At 45.7% G+C, this 20,053-nt stretch overlaps 1 protein-coding gene and 1 long non-coding RNA gene across 7 annotated transcripts in view; one reads left to right on the forward strand and one right to left on the reverse strand.

The window, feature by feature from the left end:
* The window catches only part of FAM78B (family with sequence similarity 78 member B), a 111,084-nt gene that overhangs the window by 16,413 nt on the left and 74,618 nt on the right, over positions 1–20,053 (reverse strand). The window lies entirely within an intron of this gene.
* On the forward strand, positions 8,406–19,237 carry FAM78B-AS1 (FAM78B antisense RNA 1). Of its 3 annotated transcripts, none has more exons than NR_184317.1 (3): positions 8,406–8,922; positions 10,275–10,418; positions 14,757–19,237. It is a non-coding gene; the product is annotated as an FAM78B antisense RNA 1 (long non-coding RNA). The 3 variants fall into 3 exon arrangements; NR_184318.1 differs by having other exon boundaries at positions 10,275–10,401; NR_184316.1 differs by having other exon boundaries at positions 8,406–8,679.

Raw genomic sequence — 20,053 nt, forward strand, 5'->3', positions numbered from 1 at the left:
CTGCAAGAGCCTTTTTTCTTGTCATGCCCTTGGTAACTGCTGGGAATAGCTGCAGTGTATCATGGTTGGCAGACACTAAGTAAGGAATTGACCTGATGCAGAAAGTCAGAGAGAGCTCATTTTGCTACATATGCTTTTGCAGCTGGGGGGTAGTAGCTCCCAGGTAATTCTATGCCATTTCTTACTGTACAAAAGGGAGTACATGTTCTTTGAGTGGGTCAGAGGTTGTGCAGAGATCCAATCTGCTCATTGGGTTCATGAAATAACCATACTGGAGTCGGTTTCATGCCCCCAAGCAAAGGGCTAAGACAATTCTTCAGTCACAATACATCTATTTCCTGTGTTGCCTAAATCTTGTTTTACACTTTGGCTGTGACCAGTCCCTGCTGGCCTTTGAGTTCCTTCTTAGAATTGGAGGGCAGGTATTCCGAGCAGTGGCAGACTGTTCTTGCTCTCCCCCGCTACACACAGGGCTTACTGTGGCGTATTGCCTGGGGAATTTGGTTTTGAGTGGATGTACTTTTTATTCTGTTACAACACAGTCCTTTTCAGGCTATCTTGCTTTGTCTATAGAGTCTTTATAGTTCTCATATTTTTGCCTCCCATCTTCCTGCCCAGAGCTGTGTGAGCAGAGACTTGGGCCCAGGGTCTGCAAGTCAGCCTTGTAAGACAAATCATAAAACTTAGTTTGGTCCTAGGTTTTTTGAAAAACAACAACAACAAAACAACAAAAAACAGAGATAATACAATAAAGACACACTCTTGTGGCTATCTCAGGAGGGAAGGAAAATACCCTTTTCTTGGAGGAGTTTCTGGAACAGAGAAATACAACAGGCTTCTTAATCATCACATCAGAACAAACACATCTGGCCACATGTAGTCATTGGGAATAGTGACATTGGAGGTTACACTTTAGTTCCATCCACACTGTTGTTACTTCTGCAACTGTGCTTTTGGGAATTCCTCAGGTCAGAGGCATGTTCTCTTCCATAGCCCTAGGGAATTAGGACTACATCATTAAGGGATGGTTTGATTTTGGAAACAGCCAAAATTCATTACGATTTAAGTCTAGTGAATAGGGAGTTGCTATCTGAAAAATATCAAATTTTTCCTTTATGAAAAATAGATACTAATGTACACCCCAAGGCAGTGACCTTCCCTTCTTCCCTCTCTCTATCTCTCGCTCCCTTCCTTTCTCTTTCTCTCTTTTTTTTTTTTTTTCCAAAAGGAGAGTTGTGTCTATAAAATGCATGACTAGTTTATGTAGCTGATAAAATGTCTTTGGTAATGGTTTTTCGAGAAGTCTCTGAAAAGTTCCAAGAACAGTAGCACTATTTGAGTCACTCAATGACCATTTAAGGGGATTACTTTGAATGGAATGCCAGAGGCATTTCAAACTCCATATGGCTCAAACTGAACTCATCATTTCCACCATAAACCAAGCCGTCTTCCCCTGTCTCTCTGCAAGGGGTGGCCCACTGCTCACCCAATCTTCAAGGTCAGAAGTAAGGGCCATCTTTGGCTCTTTCCACACCCTCCCCTAGGCTGCCACAGTGACTGTATCACTGCATCCTGTGAATTTTGCCCCATAAGTGATACTTGAATTTATCTCCTTTTCCCCACCCAACTCTTACTGCCTTCACTTAATCCAAGCCCTCAGCATCTCTTACCTGGTCTACTGGAATGGCGCATAATTTGTCTCTCTGCATCCAACTCTGGTCTCTCTCAAATCCATCTTTTAGGTTGTCCAAGTGTTCAAACATGCAAATCTGATCATGCTCTTTCTATACATAAAATCCTTCCAAGGCTTTTCTATATGGACATCGTTGGCATCACCCACAGGGTAAAATTCAAGTACCTTAACAGGACATACATGGCTCTCCATCATCTGGCCTCCCCATCTCCACACACCATGCCTTTCTCACCTCCACTGCTGTGCCCTCTGCCTATGCTGTTCCTCCTCCTATTCAATTTCCACTGTATCGAACTACTACTCATCCTCTGAGAATCACCATATGTATCACCTCCTCCAGGAAGCCTTCTCTTCCATGCACTCATAGATATATCTACAACTACAGGTGTCAGATTATATTATAACGATCTGTATGTCTTTCTCATTAGATTACAGGTTTCTTGAGCCTTGGAATTATGACTTATTTTTGAATCATTAGTGTCTTGCACATGGCTGGCACATAAAACTTAATAACTATTTATTAAAAGAGTAAATACTTTATTTGAATTATTTTCATGACTATATTCCTGGAGCTTGGTAGAACTTGCATACGACAAAGTGTTTTATTACAGTCTTATACTTTATATATTTACTCACCTTTAAAAAAAATCTAACATCTATTCATTTAGAATCTATTATTAGAATAGTATCATGCCTTGCACGGAAAGTTGCTTATCCTTAAAAGGAGGAGGCACATTTAAATGAAAGTGAATGAAGTAGTGAATATGAATGTATTTTAGTGACTACTCGTGCCATCATATACCTACATACAAAAATGAGTGTCAGAGACTCCAAGTGATACAGCAATTTGGAGACACAGACAACCATGCAGGCTACAGCAGGGGAAAAGCTTTGTGAAGGAAATGGCATATGAACACTTTGGAATAGAGATAGGCATTCCAGGTGGGAGTCTGTGTCACAGGCTAAAGTGTGATACCAAGCATGGATGTGAGTGTCCAGGAAACAGAGAACACTGGGAAGAGTGAAGACACTGCTGGCGGGGCAGGGTAGTATCGGTTTGTGGAGCACCTTCAATAACGGGTTTAGGCACCTGGGCTGCATCCTAGAGGTGGTGAGACTTTTGCTCAGGAGAGTTAACTGCGAGGAAGAAGAGTAATGAAAAAAGTAGGATTAGAGGGTTAAAGGGAGGGAACGAGGATGTTTAGGAGCTTCTGCAACACTGCAGGTGATCTTTAATGAGGGCTTCATCTAGACTGGTGGCTGAGAAAATGGACAGGAGGTGTCACATATAAGAGATATTACAAAGGTAGATTCTTCAAGGTTTGGTAACCAATTGCCTGTTAGAGACAAAAGAATAAATAAACAAAAAGAATCACTCAGAAGAGGCAAGTATGGCTGATTGTGTGTGTGTGTGTAATCATTCACAGAAGTAACAAGGTTGTGGTCTCACTGTCCCTGACATTTTACACCCATCCCTGAACCAATCACAATGGTATTTCAAGGTGTAGTACCTGACTGCTGCATTAGAGCATGAGGATGATGAGGACGGGGTTGTGTTTGTCTTTGCATCCTTTGTCTGGAGCATGGTGTCTGGCACATGATGCATACTTACTAATCTTGTTTCTCTTTATATCTCATTATTTATTTCTCAGTGTCCTTTGCTAGTTCTGCCTCATCTTTCAACCTTTTAACATTGGAGGGCCCCAGGGCTTAGGCTTTGGTCTTCTTCTCTTTTCTATCTATTTGCATTTCCTTGGTGATCTCATCTGGTCTCATGATTTTAAGTACCATCTGCACTGTGACAACTTCCAAATTTGTATCTCTAGGCTGGATTGCTCCCTTGAGCTCCAAATCCATATATTCACCTGCCCACTTGCCAAAAACTTTGGAGTCACTCTTGGCCACTCTCTCACATTCCACATGCTACCTATCAGCAAATCCTGTGGATGCAATCAAAATATATCTAGAATTCAACTCCTTTCCACTATCCCCATCACCATGACACCGGTCCAAGCTAGAGTTGTCTCTCTTAGATTACTGCAGTGGCCTTCTAACTGGTCTCCTTGCTAATTACTCAACTTTGCGTCCCTGTTCTATTGTCAACATGGCAGCCACAGTGATCTTGTTAAATATTTGTAAAATCGTGTCACTTTCTTGCTCAAAGTGTTTCCATGCCTCCTAAAGCACTCAGGAAAAGCTCAGCTACTTAAAATGGCTCATGTGGCCCTACATGATCCGGTTCCCTATTTCCTCTCTGATTGTATCTCCTTTTCTCTCCCTCTTGCCCATTCTGGCCTCTGTGCTGTTCATTGAACATGCCAAATAAACTCCCACCTGAGGGCCTTTGCACTTACCGTTCATTTTGCCTGGAAAAATATTCCTTTGGATATCTGAAAGGCTTGCTCCCTTGCCTCCCTTATTCTTGGCCCAAATACCACGTTCTCACTGCAATCTTTCCTAACAACCATATTTAAAATTGCAACCTCCTGCCCCAGTGCTCCCCATCCCACATCTCTGCTTTATTTTTTCTCCACAGCACCTTCTAATACACTATAACTTACTTATTTTGCTAACGGTCTGTCTCCCCTCACCCTACTCTCCAAATATAATCCCTAAGGCAAGGATTTTTATATATTTTATTCACTGCTATATCTCCAGTACCTAGAACAGTGCTGGGAAAATAGGAGTTCAAAATCATTTGTTGAATACATATCAAATTGATCTGAAGTGAAAGATGAGTGGAGACCATGAATTTCAATTTAGACACTGCTGCATTTGCGGAACTGACTAAATAGGCGGACACTGTGTCTGAGTTAATTGCAAAGTTGGGTCCAGAGCTTAGAAGAAAGTCAGGGCTAGGGATGTAAATTTGGCAACCATCTGCATGGAGAGGATCAGGTGCTGGGTGAGCTCTTTGAGGATGACAGACCTGTCACATGGCCAGAGACAAAGAAGAGTATAAAAAGCAAAGGAATAGCCAGCAAAAAAGGAGAACTAATTTCCAAAGTTGAGAATTTCAGGGAGTCAGCAGTGTCAAAAGCCACAGAAATTGAAGAGAAAAAGCCATTCGACTTGTTAATTTTCAAGACAGCAGTAAAGATATGCTGGTGGAAGCCATTCTGCAAGGGAATTAACAAGCACAAGAAAAAAACGAGAAGAAGTTGGGCAACAAAGGGGAGAAGAGAGATGAAGTAGAGAGCTGGTCCAGCATCATGGCTGAAAGCAGCATTCTGGAGGCAGACTGCTTAGGCCTGTAAACCTAGTGCTACTACTTACTAGTTGTGTGAACTTTCTGTACCTGTTTCCTCATCTAAGAAATAAGGAATAAAGATAATAACAGTACTTACTTGATGTACTTGGTATGAGAATTAAATGAGATAATGAATGGGAAGTACTTAGCACAGCTAAATACTTTCATGTGTAAAACAGGAAGAAAAATAACTCCAGATCTCCCTACATCTCAGAACTATTACAGAAATCAAATGAAGTGATGATGTAGGAGCAAATGCTTTGTAAACTACAGCACACAATGTCTCTCTCTCTATATATAATTTATATATATAAAATACATATAATTATATATTTATATAAATTATATATAATACATATAATTATATATTTATATATAAATTATAATAAATACATATAATTATATATTTATATATAAATTATATATAATAAATACATATAATTACATATATTTATAAATTATAATAAATACATATAATTACATATATTTATATATGAATTATATATAATAAATACATATAATTATATATATTTATATGTAGATTATATATAAATATATATAATTTATATATATAATAATATATATAATTTATATATATAATTATATATATAATAAATATATATAATTTATATATATAATTATATATATAATAAATATATAATAATATATATAATTTATATATATAATTATATATATAATAAATATATATAATTTATATATATAATTATATATATAATAAATATATATACAAAATAAAATATATCTATATATATTTTTGAGATGGAGTCTCGCTCCGTTTCCAGGCTGGAGTGCAGCGGTATGATCTTGGCTCACTGCAACCTCCGCCTCTTGGGTTCAAGCAATTCTTCTGCCTCAGACTCCCGAGTAGCTGGGACTACAGGCATGTGCCACCACACCCAACTAATTTTTGTATTTTTAGTAGAGACAGGGTTTCACCATGTTAGCCAGGATGGTCTCATCTCCTGACCTGGTGATCCGCCTGCCTCGACCTCCCAAAGTGCTGGGATTACAGGCGTGAGCCACCGTGCCTGGCCGTCAATATTAGTTATTATCTAATTCCCTTCCTTCTCCTATAACCCTTCTCCTCACTGTGATAAACAGTGTTTTTGCTTTAGACAATCAGCTATTGACCCAAAGCTCACAGCTAATGGACTTGCCAATGGGCCTAATAATGAAAACATTGATTATGGCAACGTTCATGCTTTCTGCATCCCATTTTTAGAAGAAAGAGGTAAATTTCAATCAAACATCATGTTAAGCATTTCATTCAAATAAGCAGTCCATGGGTTAAGGTCAAGACTCCACTCAGACCCAACAAATTCTCCCACTGCCTTTGAGGGGCAGAGCAACTTCTCTGAAAAGAACCCCACTTTGCTCCCCCTGAAGCCCTGCAGTCACTGGGGAGTCTGGGGAGAGGCTGGCAGCAACATTCTTGGAGGCAGGGAGTGGGCAGTTATGCAGGGACTCTACTGATACTAATGTCCCCTGATGCGGTGTGGGTTGGGAGTCAGGGGGAACCACACATGGAGGACTGACGGTTTTAAGCCTGGAGAGCTTCTAGGGCAGATTTTGAAATCTGCGGCAGTACTACCCTTAGACCCAGGTGAGAGGAGCCCTGGCCTGGCCTTACATGTTTTTTTTTTTTTTTTTCTTTAGAGATGGGGTCTCACTCTGTCACCCAGGCTAGAGCACAGTGGCACAATCATAGCTCACTGCAGCCTTGAACTCCTGGGCTCAAGTGATCCTCCCGCCTCAGCCTCTGGAGTAGCTGGGACTACAGGCATGCACCACCATGCCCAGCTAATTTTAAAACATTTTAAAAGAGATGGAGTCTTGCTATGTTACCCAGGTTGGTCTTGACTTCCTGGCCTCCAGGGATCCTCCTGCCTCCGCCCGCCAAGTTGCTGGGATTACAGGCATGAACCACTGTGTCTGGCTGGCCTTACCCTTTTAAGAGACCCACTCTGGTATCTTCTGGCCATGCTCTTTCACACTGGGTAAGAAGTCTGTGGTGCTGAGAGGGTGGCCCCTCCTTCGAGAACACTCTCTGGGTACCTAGGATCTCAATATTTCCAGCCCAAATGTCCCTAAACATACCTCCAGAGTCTATTCAGGCCTTTTCACTGTCCTGTCTTTCCAAGGGCAGTCCACTCCACTGTGTATGCACTTTTGGGCCCACGGGGTGGCCAGAGGGTGGCTGTTTGTTGGGGGTGTGCATGGAGTTTGGGACCATGTGTTGGGTGCCCACATGCAAATGTGTGATGGAACATCTTTTTCAATGTGGTACAGAGCCAGGGGTGGGAGGGGAAGTAGGTGGAGCTAGGGGCTGAGGGTCACTTGTTCCTATGCTGCTAGGTTCTGGCACAAAACTTTGAGGAGTCCAAGAATCCTCAATGTAAACATAGCCTTCAGGTTTTTACAAAGGTATACTTGTCTAGGTAGGAGGATAGAACTTACTTGATTCAGCCCTCTGTTAGTCTGACCTATAACTTATAAATACTGAGAAATATGGCACCCTGGCCTTTGTATTCATACTCCGAAGCCTCAAATGTTTGTTAGGGATGGGCAGAGCTGGGAGATCTAGATGCACAGTTCTGGAACCCAGGACAGTTCCAACCTGGAATGTTTTCCTTTTGTTACGTGTGGTTTCACTGCTGCTTGTTTAGTCTTAACATGCACAAAGCACCCTTACAATCAGTGTCACGTCTACTTTGTACATCAATTGCATGAGGTGGGCATCTTTCTATTTTCCATTATGCAGTAGGGAACTTGCTCAAGATCTTTCCGCTAGTGAGGGGCAGAATCAAACTGTGAACCCAAGGTCTGATTCTAAACACATGCTTTCTCATGATGCCTCCCTAGTACAAAATTAAGAGTCCAAAAGCTCTGAAAAATAATAAAAGTCATGAATGAGATTAGCTGATACACACTGCTATGACCATGCCAGTTGTTAAAATATTCAAACATTTTTGGAACAATTGCTAAACGACCCCTCTCCCTCCCCGTAATGCCTTCTCTTTGGCCACCCAGGTTCCTCCTCAGCTACCCACCACCATGTCTCCAAAAATTAATCAACTAAAGTGTTTACACAGGCACAGCAGGGGATCTCCAAGACAGGCTCTGGTTCTAAAGCTGAGTATATTAATAGTTCTGATAACATCATCTTGATCATAGCTCACACTTAACCTGAATGCCAGGCACTGTCCTGAGAGTCTGTGGTCTAACCGCTATGTTCAGCCTACTCTTTAAAGGAATCCTGACTGCTGCGTTAACTTTACTGCACTTAGAGGGTGGGAAAAGAGGCTTCTGCCTTTTCTCTTCATCTTCATGGCTGGAACCTAAGGCTCTACTATTTGGGTATGTGGCAAGTTTAGTTAAAGAGAACACCACACCCTGAGCATTGAGGCTTTTCATCTAACGTGAAGGAGAGCAATGTGCTCCCAGTCACGTGAGTCTCATGTTCCGTGTCATTGCTGACTTTGCAGCAACTTTCTCCTCCCAACCCCTCCACAGGAGGAGCTGGAAATAACAGTGCATGGTGGGACAGTGAAGAGAGAGGAGGCACGGAGGTGGAGTCTGACACAAGGCTGGGGTCAGAGGGGAGCCAGGCCAGGCGCCTGTCACCTGGGCAGCCACCTGGCCCCTGAGACCAATTTCCAGCCCTGCCTCTGGCAGAGGTCCTGATTCTCAGATGCTTTGCAACCATGATTACAGAGTAAGTGTTAAAATTAGGATTTTCCTCATTCCGCACTGTTTATATCAGACTCCAAGCAGCCTGTAAATACTCCCCCCTCCCACTTTCCCCTCCGCCCACTTCCTTTCTGACCACATCCTTTTCTTTTTGGCGCACAAGGAGGCATTTTTCCTATTGCAGAAAAGATCATTTGCAGTGTTTTTCAAGAGTCATCAGTGCAGAGACAGGCTTCATGTTTGTTACCACTCTTGCGTCCTGTTTAGGGTGAGTTCTTCCAGCATTAGAGACATCTTCTCACTGTGTATTTAACCTTCACCACGTGGAGGTCAGGTTACCTTGTGCCCTCTAAGTAAGTTGCCCCAGCTGGGTTCTCAGAGTCCTCTGCTGACTTGTTTCAATTTGACAGCCCTGAGGTCTGGGGTCGTTGGCCAGTTTTCTAGGTCACATCTGAAAATGGTTGACTTCCGACTCCAATTCTGAGTTTCTTGGAGCAAAGCGCCTTACCCCACACAGAGAAGCAGTGTTCTCTAATGCCTGCAGAGCGCCGTGCAGGCCCAGGCTGTGTCCCTTACAAGGGTCGTGTCCCCTGACCACACAGCAAGCCCTTTTGGCTCCTTACCAGTCACTGGGACTTGTGCCAGGCCCAGTGGCATTTGTTCTCCATCCCGAAGGTCACAGCCCACCCAAGGTGGCAGGTCAGATGCCTTCCCACAGGAGTAAGGCCCTGCTTATGCCAGGCTCTGGGGGTGCCAAGAGGAAGCAGAGGAAACTGGGGCTGGAGGTAGAGGTCAGCAGGCCTCCTAAGGGGAAATGGGGCTGCAGTGGGACCCCAAAAGATGAGGGGGAATCGATGTGGGCAGCATTCCAGGTGGCGAGCACAGAGACCTGCCTGTCCCTCACCATGCCCCAATCCTCACCTGCTCTTAGACCAACATGTTTCTCCACTATGCCTCTACAATATGGCCAGAATTTGTCTCTTCTGTCTAACCCCATGGCCGCCACCCTTCTCCAAGCCATTTCTCCTCTATCCGGGACCATGCAGGTCCTCTCCTCACTGGGACACTGCTTCCAAGCTTGTGCTGCCCCTGCAAGCCACGAATATGGTTTTTATAAAATGTACATCAGGCCATGTCTCATCTCTGAAAAATCCTATGATGGTTTTCTACTGCACCCAGATGTCCATGTTTCCTTATTTGCCCCACCAGTTCTCCAGCCTCATTCATCCTCACCCCCTCCCTTCTGGCTCTCTAGACTTCAGCAACTTCAACTTTTTTCACTTTTCAACAAGATAAGCTTCCTCCCACTGGACTTGCTGGGCCTTTGGATTTGCTGTTCCCTTTGCCCAGGACCATTTTCTTTCAGTTCTTTACAACCTGGACTCCTTTTCTTTTTCTGAAAATAGAGATGGGGTCTCACTACCTTTCCCAGGCTGGTCTTGAACTCCTAGGCTCAAATGATCTTCCTGCCTCAACCCCCACAGAGTGTTGGGATTATGGGCATAAGCCACCACCCTTGGCTCCCTTTCATCCTCAACTTGCAGCTCCAGGCCACCTTCTGAGAGTGGCTTCCAATTGCATATGCATTTCAGTGTGCTGATTTGCTTGTGTCTATGACAGTTTTCCACTAGACTGCATGCGTCCTGAGGACAGGCTTTGCTGCATCTTCAGTACCTCCAGAAGAGCCCAGAACAGGTGCTTCCTTCAAGCAGCGCAATGAATGGGGCAAGTGTTTCTGGAAGAGCAGGTAGGGCTGGCTGTGAGGTGAGTTCAAGGGAGCTGCAGAGGGAGTAAGATGGGGAAGGCTCTTCTGGAGTCTAGGGGAGAGTCCCACGTGACAGCCGAAGGGATGGGAAGGGACTGAATGCAGACACATTGGAACGAGTGTCCCTGGGGCTCCTGGCAAGGTACTAAGTGCCTTTCCTCTGACAGCTTGCATTAAATAGGAGCCCAGCTAAGCTGGGAGAGGATGTAGGGGCTGGGTGGTGGCATTGAGGGGCATGGGGGTGCAACACACATTCAATCCAGCCCATGGCAGTAGACTGTATCCTCTACTTGCAGCCCTTGAAGCCAGACAAATGGCAGGTAGAGGAGATGGGGAGTGGATGTGTGTTTTTTTCCTTCTTATTTTGGAATTCTGCTATTATAGGCAAACCTTAGTTAACCTGAGAAAAGACATTATTGGGTGGATACACCAAAATGTGAAAAGTGCTTATCTATAGTTGTGGGACTATAGGAGTTTTCTCTTTATTTTGTGAATATTCTCATTAAAAAAATTAATTTGTCTTTATTCTGTAATAAAAAGGAATGAGTTACCTCACAGAATTACATAGAATGAATATGAAGCATTTCAGGGAAAGAGAGAGGAGGGGTAGGGGAAGAGTGCGGGGTGGGACTCCCAAGACCTGCATGCAAATCTGGATGTTACCACCTGCTACCACGTGGCCTTGGACAAATCACTAAGCCTCTTTGGGCTTTCATTTCTTATGTGAATGGGGATAATAACAAAACCCACGCTGTAGGTTTTTCCTTTTTTTTGAAATGCAGTTTTGCTCGGTCACCCAGGCTGGAGTGCGGTGGCGCGATCTCAGCTCACTGCAACCTCTGCCTCTTGGGTTCAAGTGCTTCTCCTGCCTCAGCCTCCGGAGTAGCTAGGACTACACGTGCGTGCCACCACGCCCAGCTGATTTTTGTAGTTTTAGTAGAGACGGGTTTCACTATGTTGATCAGGATGGTCTCGATCTCTTGACCTCATGATCCGTCTGCCTCGGCCTCCCAAAGTGCTGGGATTACAGGCGTGAGCCACGCACCCAGCTTTTTTTTTTTTTTTTTTTTTTTTAATGAGAACCCTATGAAAACTAATCTATATCATGCCTGCGTGGCACATAACAGCTCACAAATGAGAACTATTATTATGGGTATTGCTCATTCAAAAAGGATGTTGGCTGGCTGGGACCTGAGCTTCTTCAAAGGGTAGGACTCATTTCCTCCCTTTACGCAAGTAAGAACTGAGTATTTCCCTTCCATCTTGACAAGGTAACAGGAGGGTAGATGGCCACACTTTATTTACATAATAAGGACACTGAAGTAGAGAAATGATTCATTCATGGCATGCACCAAGAAAGACGCACATCCACAGATAGTATTCTTTTCACAAAGAGCACCTACTTTGTTCTTAACATTGTGTTAGACTTTGTGGATAACACAGAGGATGTAGAAACCACACACACACACACACACACACACACACACACTCTCTCTCTCTCTCTCTCTCTCTCTCTTTCTCTCTCTCTCTTTGCATATAATTTCATCTGGTGAGGGTCTCAAGTCTAAAAATATCTGCTCTGGAAGCTACCAGCCTAGATGCCCTTTCTGGCATGACTTTTGGGCTCCAAAGTGAGCCCTTTCACCTTCAGTTTCCTCATCTATAAAACAGAGAGTAGAATAAACAACCTCATGGATAAGGATATGTCCAGCTCCTATAATCTCTGACCAAAGACCTCAGTCCTTGTGCTGATGGCGAGTGCAATTTTCAGGGCCACAAGGGAAGAGTTATGGTTTCAGAAAAGAGAAATATAGTGGTTATTCCCAAGGGATGAGTTGCTTCTCCCAGAATACAGGACACCACACTGTAAGGCTGTAAGGCTCCCAGGGATTCAGAGTGGCTTCCCTGCACCTGGGTCCACGTCTACTCTCCTATCAGGGTTCTAGCTCCTCCTGAATGAGTCTCCTGTGACACCTGCAGCTGGGAGGACTACAGCTCTTGAGCCCTGCTGGATGTCTCTGACTTGCTGCTTGTCAGGCTTGCCACCTGCGCATCAGGTGGTGGAAGTGGGGCACCACTCCTGCCTGCACATGGCCTGGATCCCAGCCCCAAAGCCTGGCTTACCTTGGTGCCTGTACCTGGAGTCTACAATCCTGCAGGTCCTGTGGCTATAAAAGGCCTTAACACCGTGAACACCTAATGCCTTTCTTCTTATTTTTTTCCCTTTGTGCCTGGGCATTGACAGAGAAGGTGTGGTGCACTTATTTCTTTTTACCTTATTTGTCAAGGAAGACTCCTAGTATGGAACCTTCTGGTGGATCCCTGGAAGAGAAGCTCTTGGGGCCCTCCGCCATTTACCCTGTCTTGGTTAACTGGCACAGTTTGGCAGTGCATCCTCATCTCATGGACTGTTTTAGCATCCCATGGACTGTTTTAGCACAGAACATCTGCAGTTTTAACTGTTACTTGTAAAGACACGACTAGTTTTTTTGTGGCTGAATCTAATGGCAGCATATGCATCTGATGGAGATAATGAACACTGAGCATAGTTGGCTGGGGACCCTGGGCAGCTCAGGGGAAGGGGGGCCACTGTACCATCCCTTCCCATCTGGACCTAAAGCTGATGTGCTAGCTTCGGAGGGTGGGGTCAGAACTCAAGATCTCTTCAGATCTTTTGGCCTAGACAGCACTTCCTGCAATTTATTCCCATCTGATTTGGGAATCATTAAGGAGAACAAATGTTCAAGGTCAAGGAGACACTGATAAAGACATGGTTGTCAAGTCTTCTCCAAGATCAATCAGGAGTTACTAGATACTTATCAGCTGAATGAATGAATGAACCAGGGCAGGTCTGCTGGGCACAGCGTGTGAGCAGGAGTGCAGGGCACTATCAGCCCTTCTATCAGACAGCATTCTTGCCTTTCTCCTGCCTCCCTGGTTAGAGGCCTCAGTGACCCCATGACAAGTGACTATGACCAGAAAGAACATAACCGACAGGGTCTGGGTACCTGGGAGTCAATGCCAAGTCTGGGCTGGGGGCTCCTTGGCCTCAGTGGTCTGGAAACCAGGAAATCCAAAGTCTGGAAACCAGGAAATAAAGAGATGTGTTTACTAGGGCAAGAACAAGGCCAGGAGAGTCACACAGCAAAACATCTGTGGTGACAAAGTTGAGAAGATCAAGACAGGCTAGAGGCAGGAATCTCAAATGTCAGGTATTATTAATACTGCTACTACAGGTAAGAGGAGCTAATATTTACTGAAGGCTTCCAGGCAGTCTACTAAATTCTTGCTATAGTAACCTTCAAAGTAGGTACTATGTTACTCTTTTTTTTTTTTTTTTTTGCATAAAGGAGCTGAGGCTCAGGCTAAATGACTCGCCATTGTCACAAAGCAAATAAGTGGCAGAGATGGGACAAACTTAACTCTGGCCTCTGGCTCTCCGGTACCTTTGACCCCTCTTCCTGGTCAAAACCAAAGGCTTTTGCAGCCAGTACTGACCCAGGTCCTCTAACCTGATTCTCCCTCCCCCACCATCCCCACAGCACAGGGTTTCCTCATAGGTGACACTAGAGCAGAGGAATGTCCCCAAAGAAAGCACAGTGGCAGAAGGGCAGGACTCTGCTGCTGGAGCAGTCATTTCTCTCATTTCTCTCACTGGCGCTGGGCAGGGTAAGGGTGGGAAGATGGAAGGGGCTTCCCAGTTTCCACCAAATAATGCTCAAGGTGTAGGGGGAAGGGTCAAGGTCATGAAAGCGGGGCAGAGGGAGGCAGACACAGGAAAACAGAAGGGGAGAGGCTGAGGATGGAGTGCTCTAGCAGCACAGACTTTAAAATCAGAGTTTATTGTTTTCATTAACTTTCCACTTTGTGTTCTTTGCATGCCACATTTCACTGCATGCTGAGTAGGGCAGCAGATGTGGGGAGTTTCCGGCAGCAGCTGAGCTGGGGCAGGAGATATAAAGATGCTGGCAGCTGAGTGTGTACCCTGGTGACAGGACCATAGACATGTCTTACCAGGCAGATGCCAGCTTAGCACACAAAAGGAGTGCCTGTCTGCAGTTGGCAGAGGTGGGGCCACACTGTCCACACGTGTGGACAGAGGAATTCACATGGGTATTATCAAACTAGAGGGGCAGAGAGACTGCAAAATTTCTAGGGATGCCTAAATGTTCCCCCAGTGTGGCTACATGCAGTGTGGCCACATGCAGTGTGGCCCAGGTGAGATGTCTGTCTCAGTGATTGTGGATGAAAGTGGTACACACACTGGCTTTCATTTAATCTGCAACAACACTACCGGGCGGCTATTATGATTACCATCTCCATTTTTTTTTTTTTAGATGGAGTTTCACTCTTTCACCCAGGCTGGAGTGCAATGGCACGATCTCGGCTCACTGCAGCCTCTGCCTTCCAGTTTCAAGCGATTCTCCTGCCTCAGCCTCCCAAGTAGCTGGGATTACAGGCGCCCGCCACCATGCCGGCTAATTTTTGTATTTTTGATAGAGACGGGGTTTCACCATGTTGTCCAGGCTGGTCTTGAACTCCTGACCTTGTGATCCACCTGCCTCAGCTCCCCAAAATGCTAGGATTACAAGCAAGAGCCACCGTGCCCAGCCCACCATCTCCATTTTGCAAAGGAGGAAACTGAGACACAGTGACACCAAGGATGACAACTGGAGTAAACCATGGAGGCAGGATTCTCACCCTAACAGATACCTCAACAGGCCAAATTTAAGTACTTGTGGAAGGAAAACTACCATGTCTTGAGCACCTAGCGTACTTCAGGCACCATGTTAGGTACTTTGTATGGGTTAACTAATTTGGTCATCGTAAGTCCTTGTGAAGGGGGCACTGTAAGTCCTGTGTTACAAATGCAACAACTTAGATGGAGAGAAGTTAAGTAATGTGTCTCTCTTTGCCCAGCTTGTAAGTGGCAGAGCTGGGACTTAAACCCAGAGGAGACATACACATGACTGTGTTGTGTTGTCAATTTTTAAAAGTTACATTACTTAATTGATTGGTTAATTCTTTTAACGTGTGATGTTTGAAATGTGTAGGCATCTAAGACAGTATGTGGGCAGGGGGTGGGCAGGGAGACACACAAAGATGACTCTGACCTGGCTACTAGCAGGCATAAGCCGTAAGTAAATGACTACAGTGCAAGGAGGAATGGGAGGAGTGCCGCTCAGGCTGGAGAGCATTCTGGGGTGCTGGGGATGGCAGAGGGTACTTGTGTCTGCTGCTTTTACCTTCTGCACCCTGGGGAGGGTGGTTCAGAAGTCAGCCTGCCCCAACGCAAAGCCCAGGCTGCAGATGCTTTGACCCAATTCTGCTCAAGCTGTTGGTCATCTCCTTCCAACACTCAAGAGACTGGCTTTTGTCCCTGGATGGATCATCTCTGCTCTGATGATTCTGGCATCCATGTGAGAACCAGCAGGGGAACAGCTATGCAACAGAGGCCTCTGGAACCTCACGCTCTTTAGATGTTAAATTGAAATCAGGTGCTTTATGACTCGTCTGTATTCAGGAGCCCATCAACGCTGCATGGGAACTGCTGTGGATTCAAAAGGAACACCAGTGTCATCCCTGCATGGCCCTTTACTCCACTGTGCTCCATGTTCTCCTCACTCCCTCCCAAGGGAGTTTTCTCCCATCTGCAGACCCTGCTGGGTGGGGCAGAAAGAGCACTGGGTTTGGACTCAGAAGATCCAGGCCCACTATCTGGTCTGTCACTCAGCAGCATGACTGTCACGAAGGCTCTCCTAGGCCTCAGTCTTCTGAGCAGTAAAATGGGATAATAATGCCTTCTTGCAGAGCTGCCATGTGGGTTACATGAGAAGTATGTGGAACGGTAGGTGTCACACTTACTGCAATTTCCAGGCCTCACGGACTGGCATACAGCTATGGCCAAGTCATTCCCACCCTTCAATCCTCTGTGAAGGGCTTCCTGACTGTTCCAGCCTGCCTGACTTCTGGAGGGATGTAGGACTGACCCGAAGTATTTGGCCAACCACGGGGAGGGGCAGAGGGGGCAGACACTGGGTGAATCTGGGCTTTGGGCTGTGTGGGGCTAGTGGGCTCCTCCAGTGTACAATTCTTGAGAGGCTTCCCAGTACTGGTAGAATACCACCCAAACCTCTAATGTGCTCCACACAGTCCTGCATCCTCTGGCCTCTGACTCCCCAGCTTCATCTCACACCACACTCCCCCATGCTCTCAGTGTTCCACTGCAAACAGCTTTCCACCCCCAATAGCTTTCCTTATGGTCCTCCAACATGCCAGGCTCTTCCCTGCCTCAGAGCCTCGGCAGACACTGTCTGGAAGGTACTTTTTCCCACTGCTCCCTTGGGCAACTGAGTAATCCTTAGGTCTAAACCCAAGTGTCACTTCCTCTGGGATACCTCCCCTGATCCATGCACCACCTCCTCCCACGCTGAACGAAACTAGGTCTCTGCTATAGAACTGCATCTTCTCCTGATTCATAGAACTTATCACCATTTGTAATTATATACATGTGAACCTATTTATGATTTAATGTGTCTCTCTTCGTGTGGATTGGAACACCTTAACTGATCACTGCTACTGACGAGGATCCACCACAGCCTCGGATATAGTGGTATTCCATCAGCGTGTATGAAGAGTGAATGTCTACATGAAACAGGTAGCGACAAGGGGCAAGAGGATGGAGGAGAGTGGGAAGGGAGTGGTGGCAGTGATGTGCCTGAGAGGTACCACGGTGGGCAGCAGGGAAAAAGCAGAGGGCTCTAGGAAGTGAAAGAATGGGTCAGGAGGAAGACCTGAGAGTGGGCTGTTTGCATTTAAGATTTCAGAGGGGCAGCCATGAAGCATGGCCTGTTTTGAGGCTCCTAGGAAGGGGAAGATGCAGCCTTGTGATGGAGTTTTGTACAGTTAGGGCATCCAGAGTGCCCTGGGACTGGGAACTGGCAAGGAAATAAGAGAGAGCTCTGGAATGGGGGGTGAGGGGGAGGGTACCGATGGTGCCTATGTCCCTGTGTTATGGGGTGGCCCTGCACTCCAGATGTCACCAGTATCCCTTGGACTCAGTAGGAGGGAGCTCTCTCCAGGGAAAAGGGAACTCTGTTAACATAACCGCGGTGGGGGTTAAAGAGCAGCTTTCCCTCAGTGGTACAGAGCCCTGTGGCTGGCAGCGCTGCACAGACTCCTCGAGACTCAGCTCCCACTGTCCCTGAGCCACACTGGGGCTCTTCGCCCTCCTGGCAGCAATTATAAAGTTGAACAGCAGAGGCAGGGGAGGATCGAAAGCCAAACAGGAAGCCAATAATTGCCTCTTGCAGAAATAGCTCTTTCAAAATAAAAGTGAGGTCCTGAGGTTCCTACCCAGGTCAGTTATACAATGCTGCTCCTGTCCTCCCAGAGCCCTGTAATCTTCTTCCCAGTGTCTACTTTCTGGCCCTGAACTCCAGTACAGGTCAAAAGATGTCCATGTGAAAACTAAGAAATGAAAAGTCCAATCCCCCATGCAACACTTTTTAGGGCTTCTGAGCACGTAAACACAAACAAACATACAACATTTTCTAAGCCTGGTCATCACAATCATCTGTCCACACACTGACACATGAACCTTCTCAGGTTCCGGACAGGCAGAGCAATGCCTCACTGAAACTGAACCCTTACTCAACAGGAAGACTAGGCTGAAAAAAACAAAACAGGGGAAGTAGGTGTCAGGAACCAAAGGAGGAGGCCACTCCAAGGACAATGGAATGAGAGCTCTCCAAGGTCACAGGCTATTAACTCGGTCCTTTCATGGGTAAAACTAACCCCTTTGAAGGGAATGCAGTCCCAATCAAAGTCAGTAATAAAAGCCACCTCAGAGATATGGCTCATGAGCCATCAGTTCGAATGATTTCTTCACCACCTGCCATGTGCTTGGTACTGTCCTGGGTGCAGGCGACAACAAGACTCATGAAATGGTGTCCCTGCTCTAATTCTGGGACAGAATTAGAGCAGATCACTTCAATACAATGTGGGATATTTGGGGACAGAGACATGTCATCAGGGGCAGCAGCAAAAGCCATCTGGCCATCTGGGAAGAGGTGGATGATGGTGACCATAATGATGGCTAGTGTTTATTGAGGGCTTACTCTGTGCAGGTATTGCTCATGGCACTTCACATGCACCAACTGATCAATCCTCACAACAACCCAGTGAAGCTGGTACTAACTTTATTTCCATTTTAAAGTTGGGGTGGGGGTGCGACTGAGGTTTGGGGAGGTGAAGAAACTGGCCTAGGGCAACACAGGATTTGAACGTAGGCTGACTGGCTCCTGAGCAGCATCCTGGGTGAAGGATGAGCAGCAGAGGAGGAAGCAGCATGAACAATGGCCTCAAGGTGTGGCACGGGCAGGAAGGGTAGAACTACTTGTTTCTGTATTTCTTAAACACAATGTTGGGCCAAGAGTGAGGGAAGTCAAGGCTGAAGGGGAGGTGGTGGCCTTGACAGCTCCCCCATGAAAGTCTGGTTGGGTTGGTGCAAGAAGGATGGTGATATGGTTTGGCTGTGTCCCCACCCAAATCTCATCTTGATTTCCTACATATTGGGGGAGGGACTCAGTGGGAGGTAACTGAATCATGGGGGCAGGTCTTTCTCTTGCTGTTCTCATGATGGTGAATAAGTCTCACGAGATCTGACGGTTTTAAAAAGGGGGAGTTCCCCTGCACAAGCTCTTTTTGCCTGCTGCCATCCAAGACGTGATTAGCTGCTCCTTGCCTTCCACCATGATTGTGAAGCCTGTCCAGCCATATGGAACTCTAAGTCCAATAAACCTCTCTCTTTTGTAAATTGTCCAGTCTCAGGTGTATCTATCTTTACCAGCAGCATGAGGACAGACTAATACAGATGGTATCTCAAGCCTAATTCTTTACTGGTCCTGCCACCTGACATTGCCACGGAGATCCTCCATAAGGATTTGGAGGCTGAATTCATGGGAAGGTAACCATAACCAGATATGGACTTAGTACCTTACATTTCACAAAACAATCCCCACATAAATGATCTCATTTAATCTTCACAATAATGCTATGAAATAGGTATTATGTCCTCTACCTTAAAAACAAGGAAACCAGAGCTCAGAAAGGTTACGTGATTTTCTCAAAGTCCAACAGTTCATAAGTGATGGAGACAGAGGTCTTAAACCTACATCCACATTCTGTTACGTTTTCTACCACACTACCCCTGCTTCTCAATGAAGCAAGACAGCAGGAGAACCTGGACAGACACTGTGTGGTTAACATGATTGAGCCATCATTTTTTTTTTTTTTTTTTGCAAAACAAAAAGTGGGGGAAGCTTATGTATCAAAAGTCTATCTTTCTGAGGAATTTTCCAGAACTTAGCTCTCAGCAGGATGATCTGCCCAAAATACCTGTAGTATACTTGGTAAACATGAGCCAGAAATAATTAGCTAATGAGCTACCATCAATGTTTGTTAATTATCTGTGCCAATGGAAGCGAGCACTGATGTGGAGAATAAAAAGTGTGGCAGTATCCCTTGGATGGCAGAGCCACAGCCCTCCTCCTTCCAGTGGGGGATGCTGAGTTGTCCTGCCCTATGTGCAGCCTGCACCCCCAACCCTCCCTGGCATTGCTAACCACACCTG

The sequence above is a fragment of the Homo sapiens genome, chromosome 1 (genome assembly GCF_000001405.40).
Source record: "Homo sapiens chromosome 1, GRCh38.p14 Primary Assembly".
NCBI lineage: Eukaryota > Metazoa > Chordata > Mammalia > Primates > Hominidae > Homo > Homo sapiens.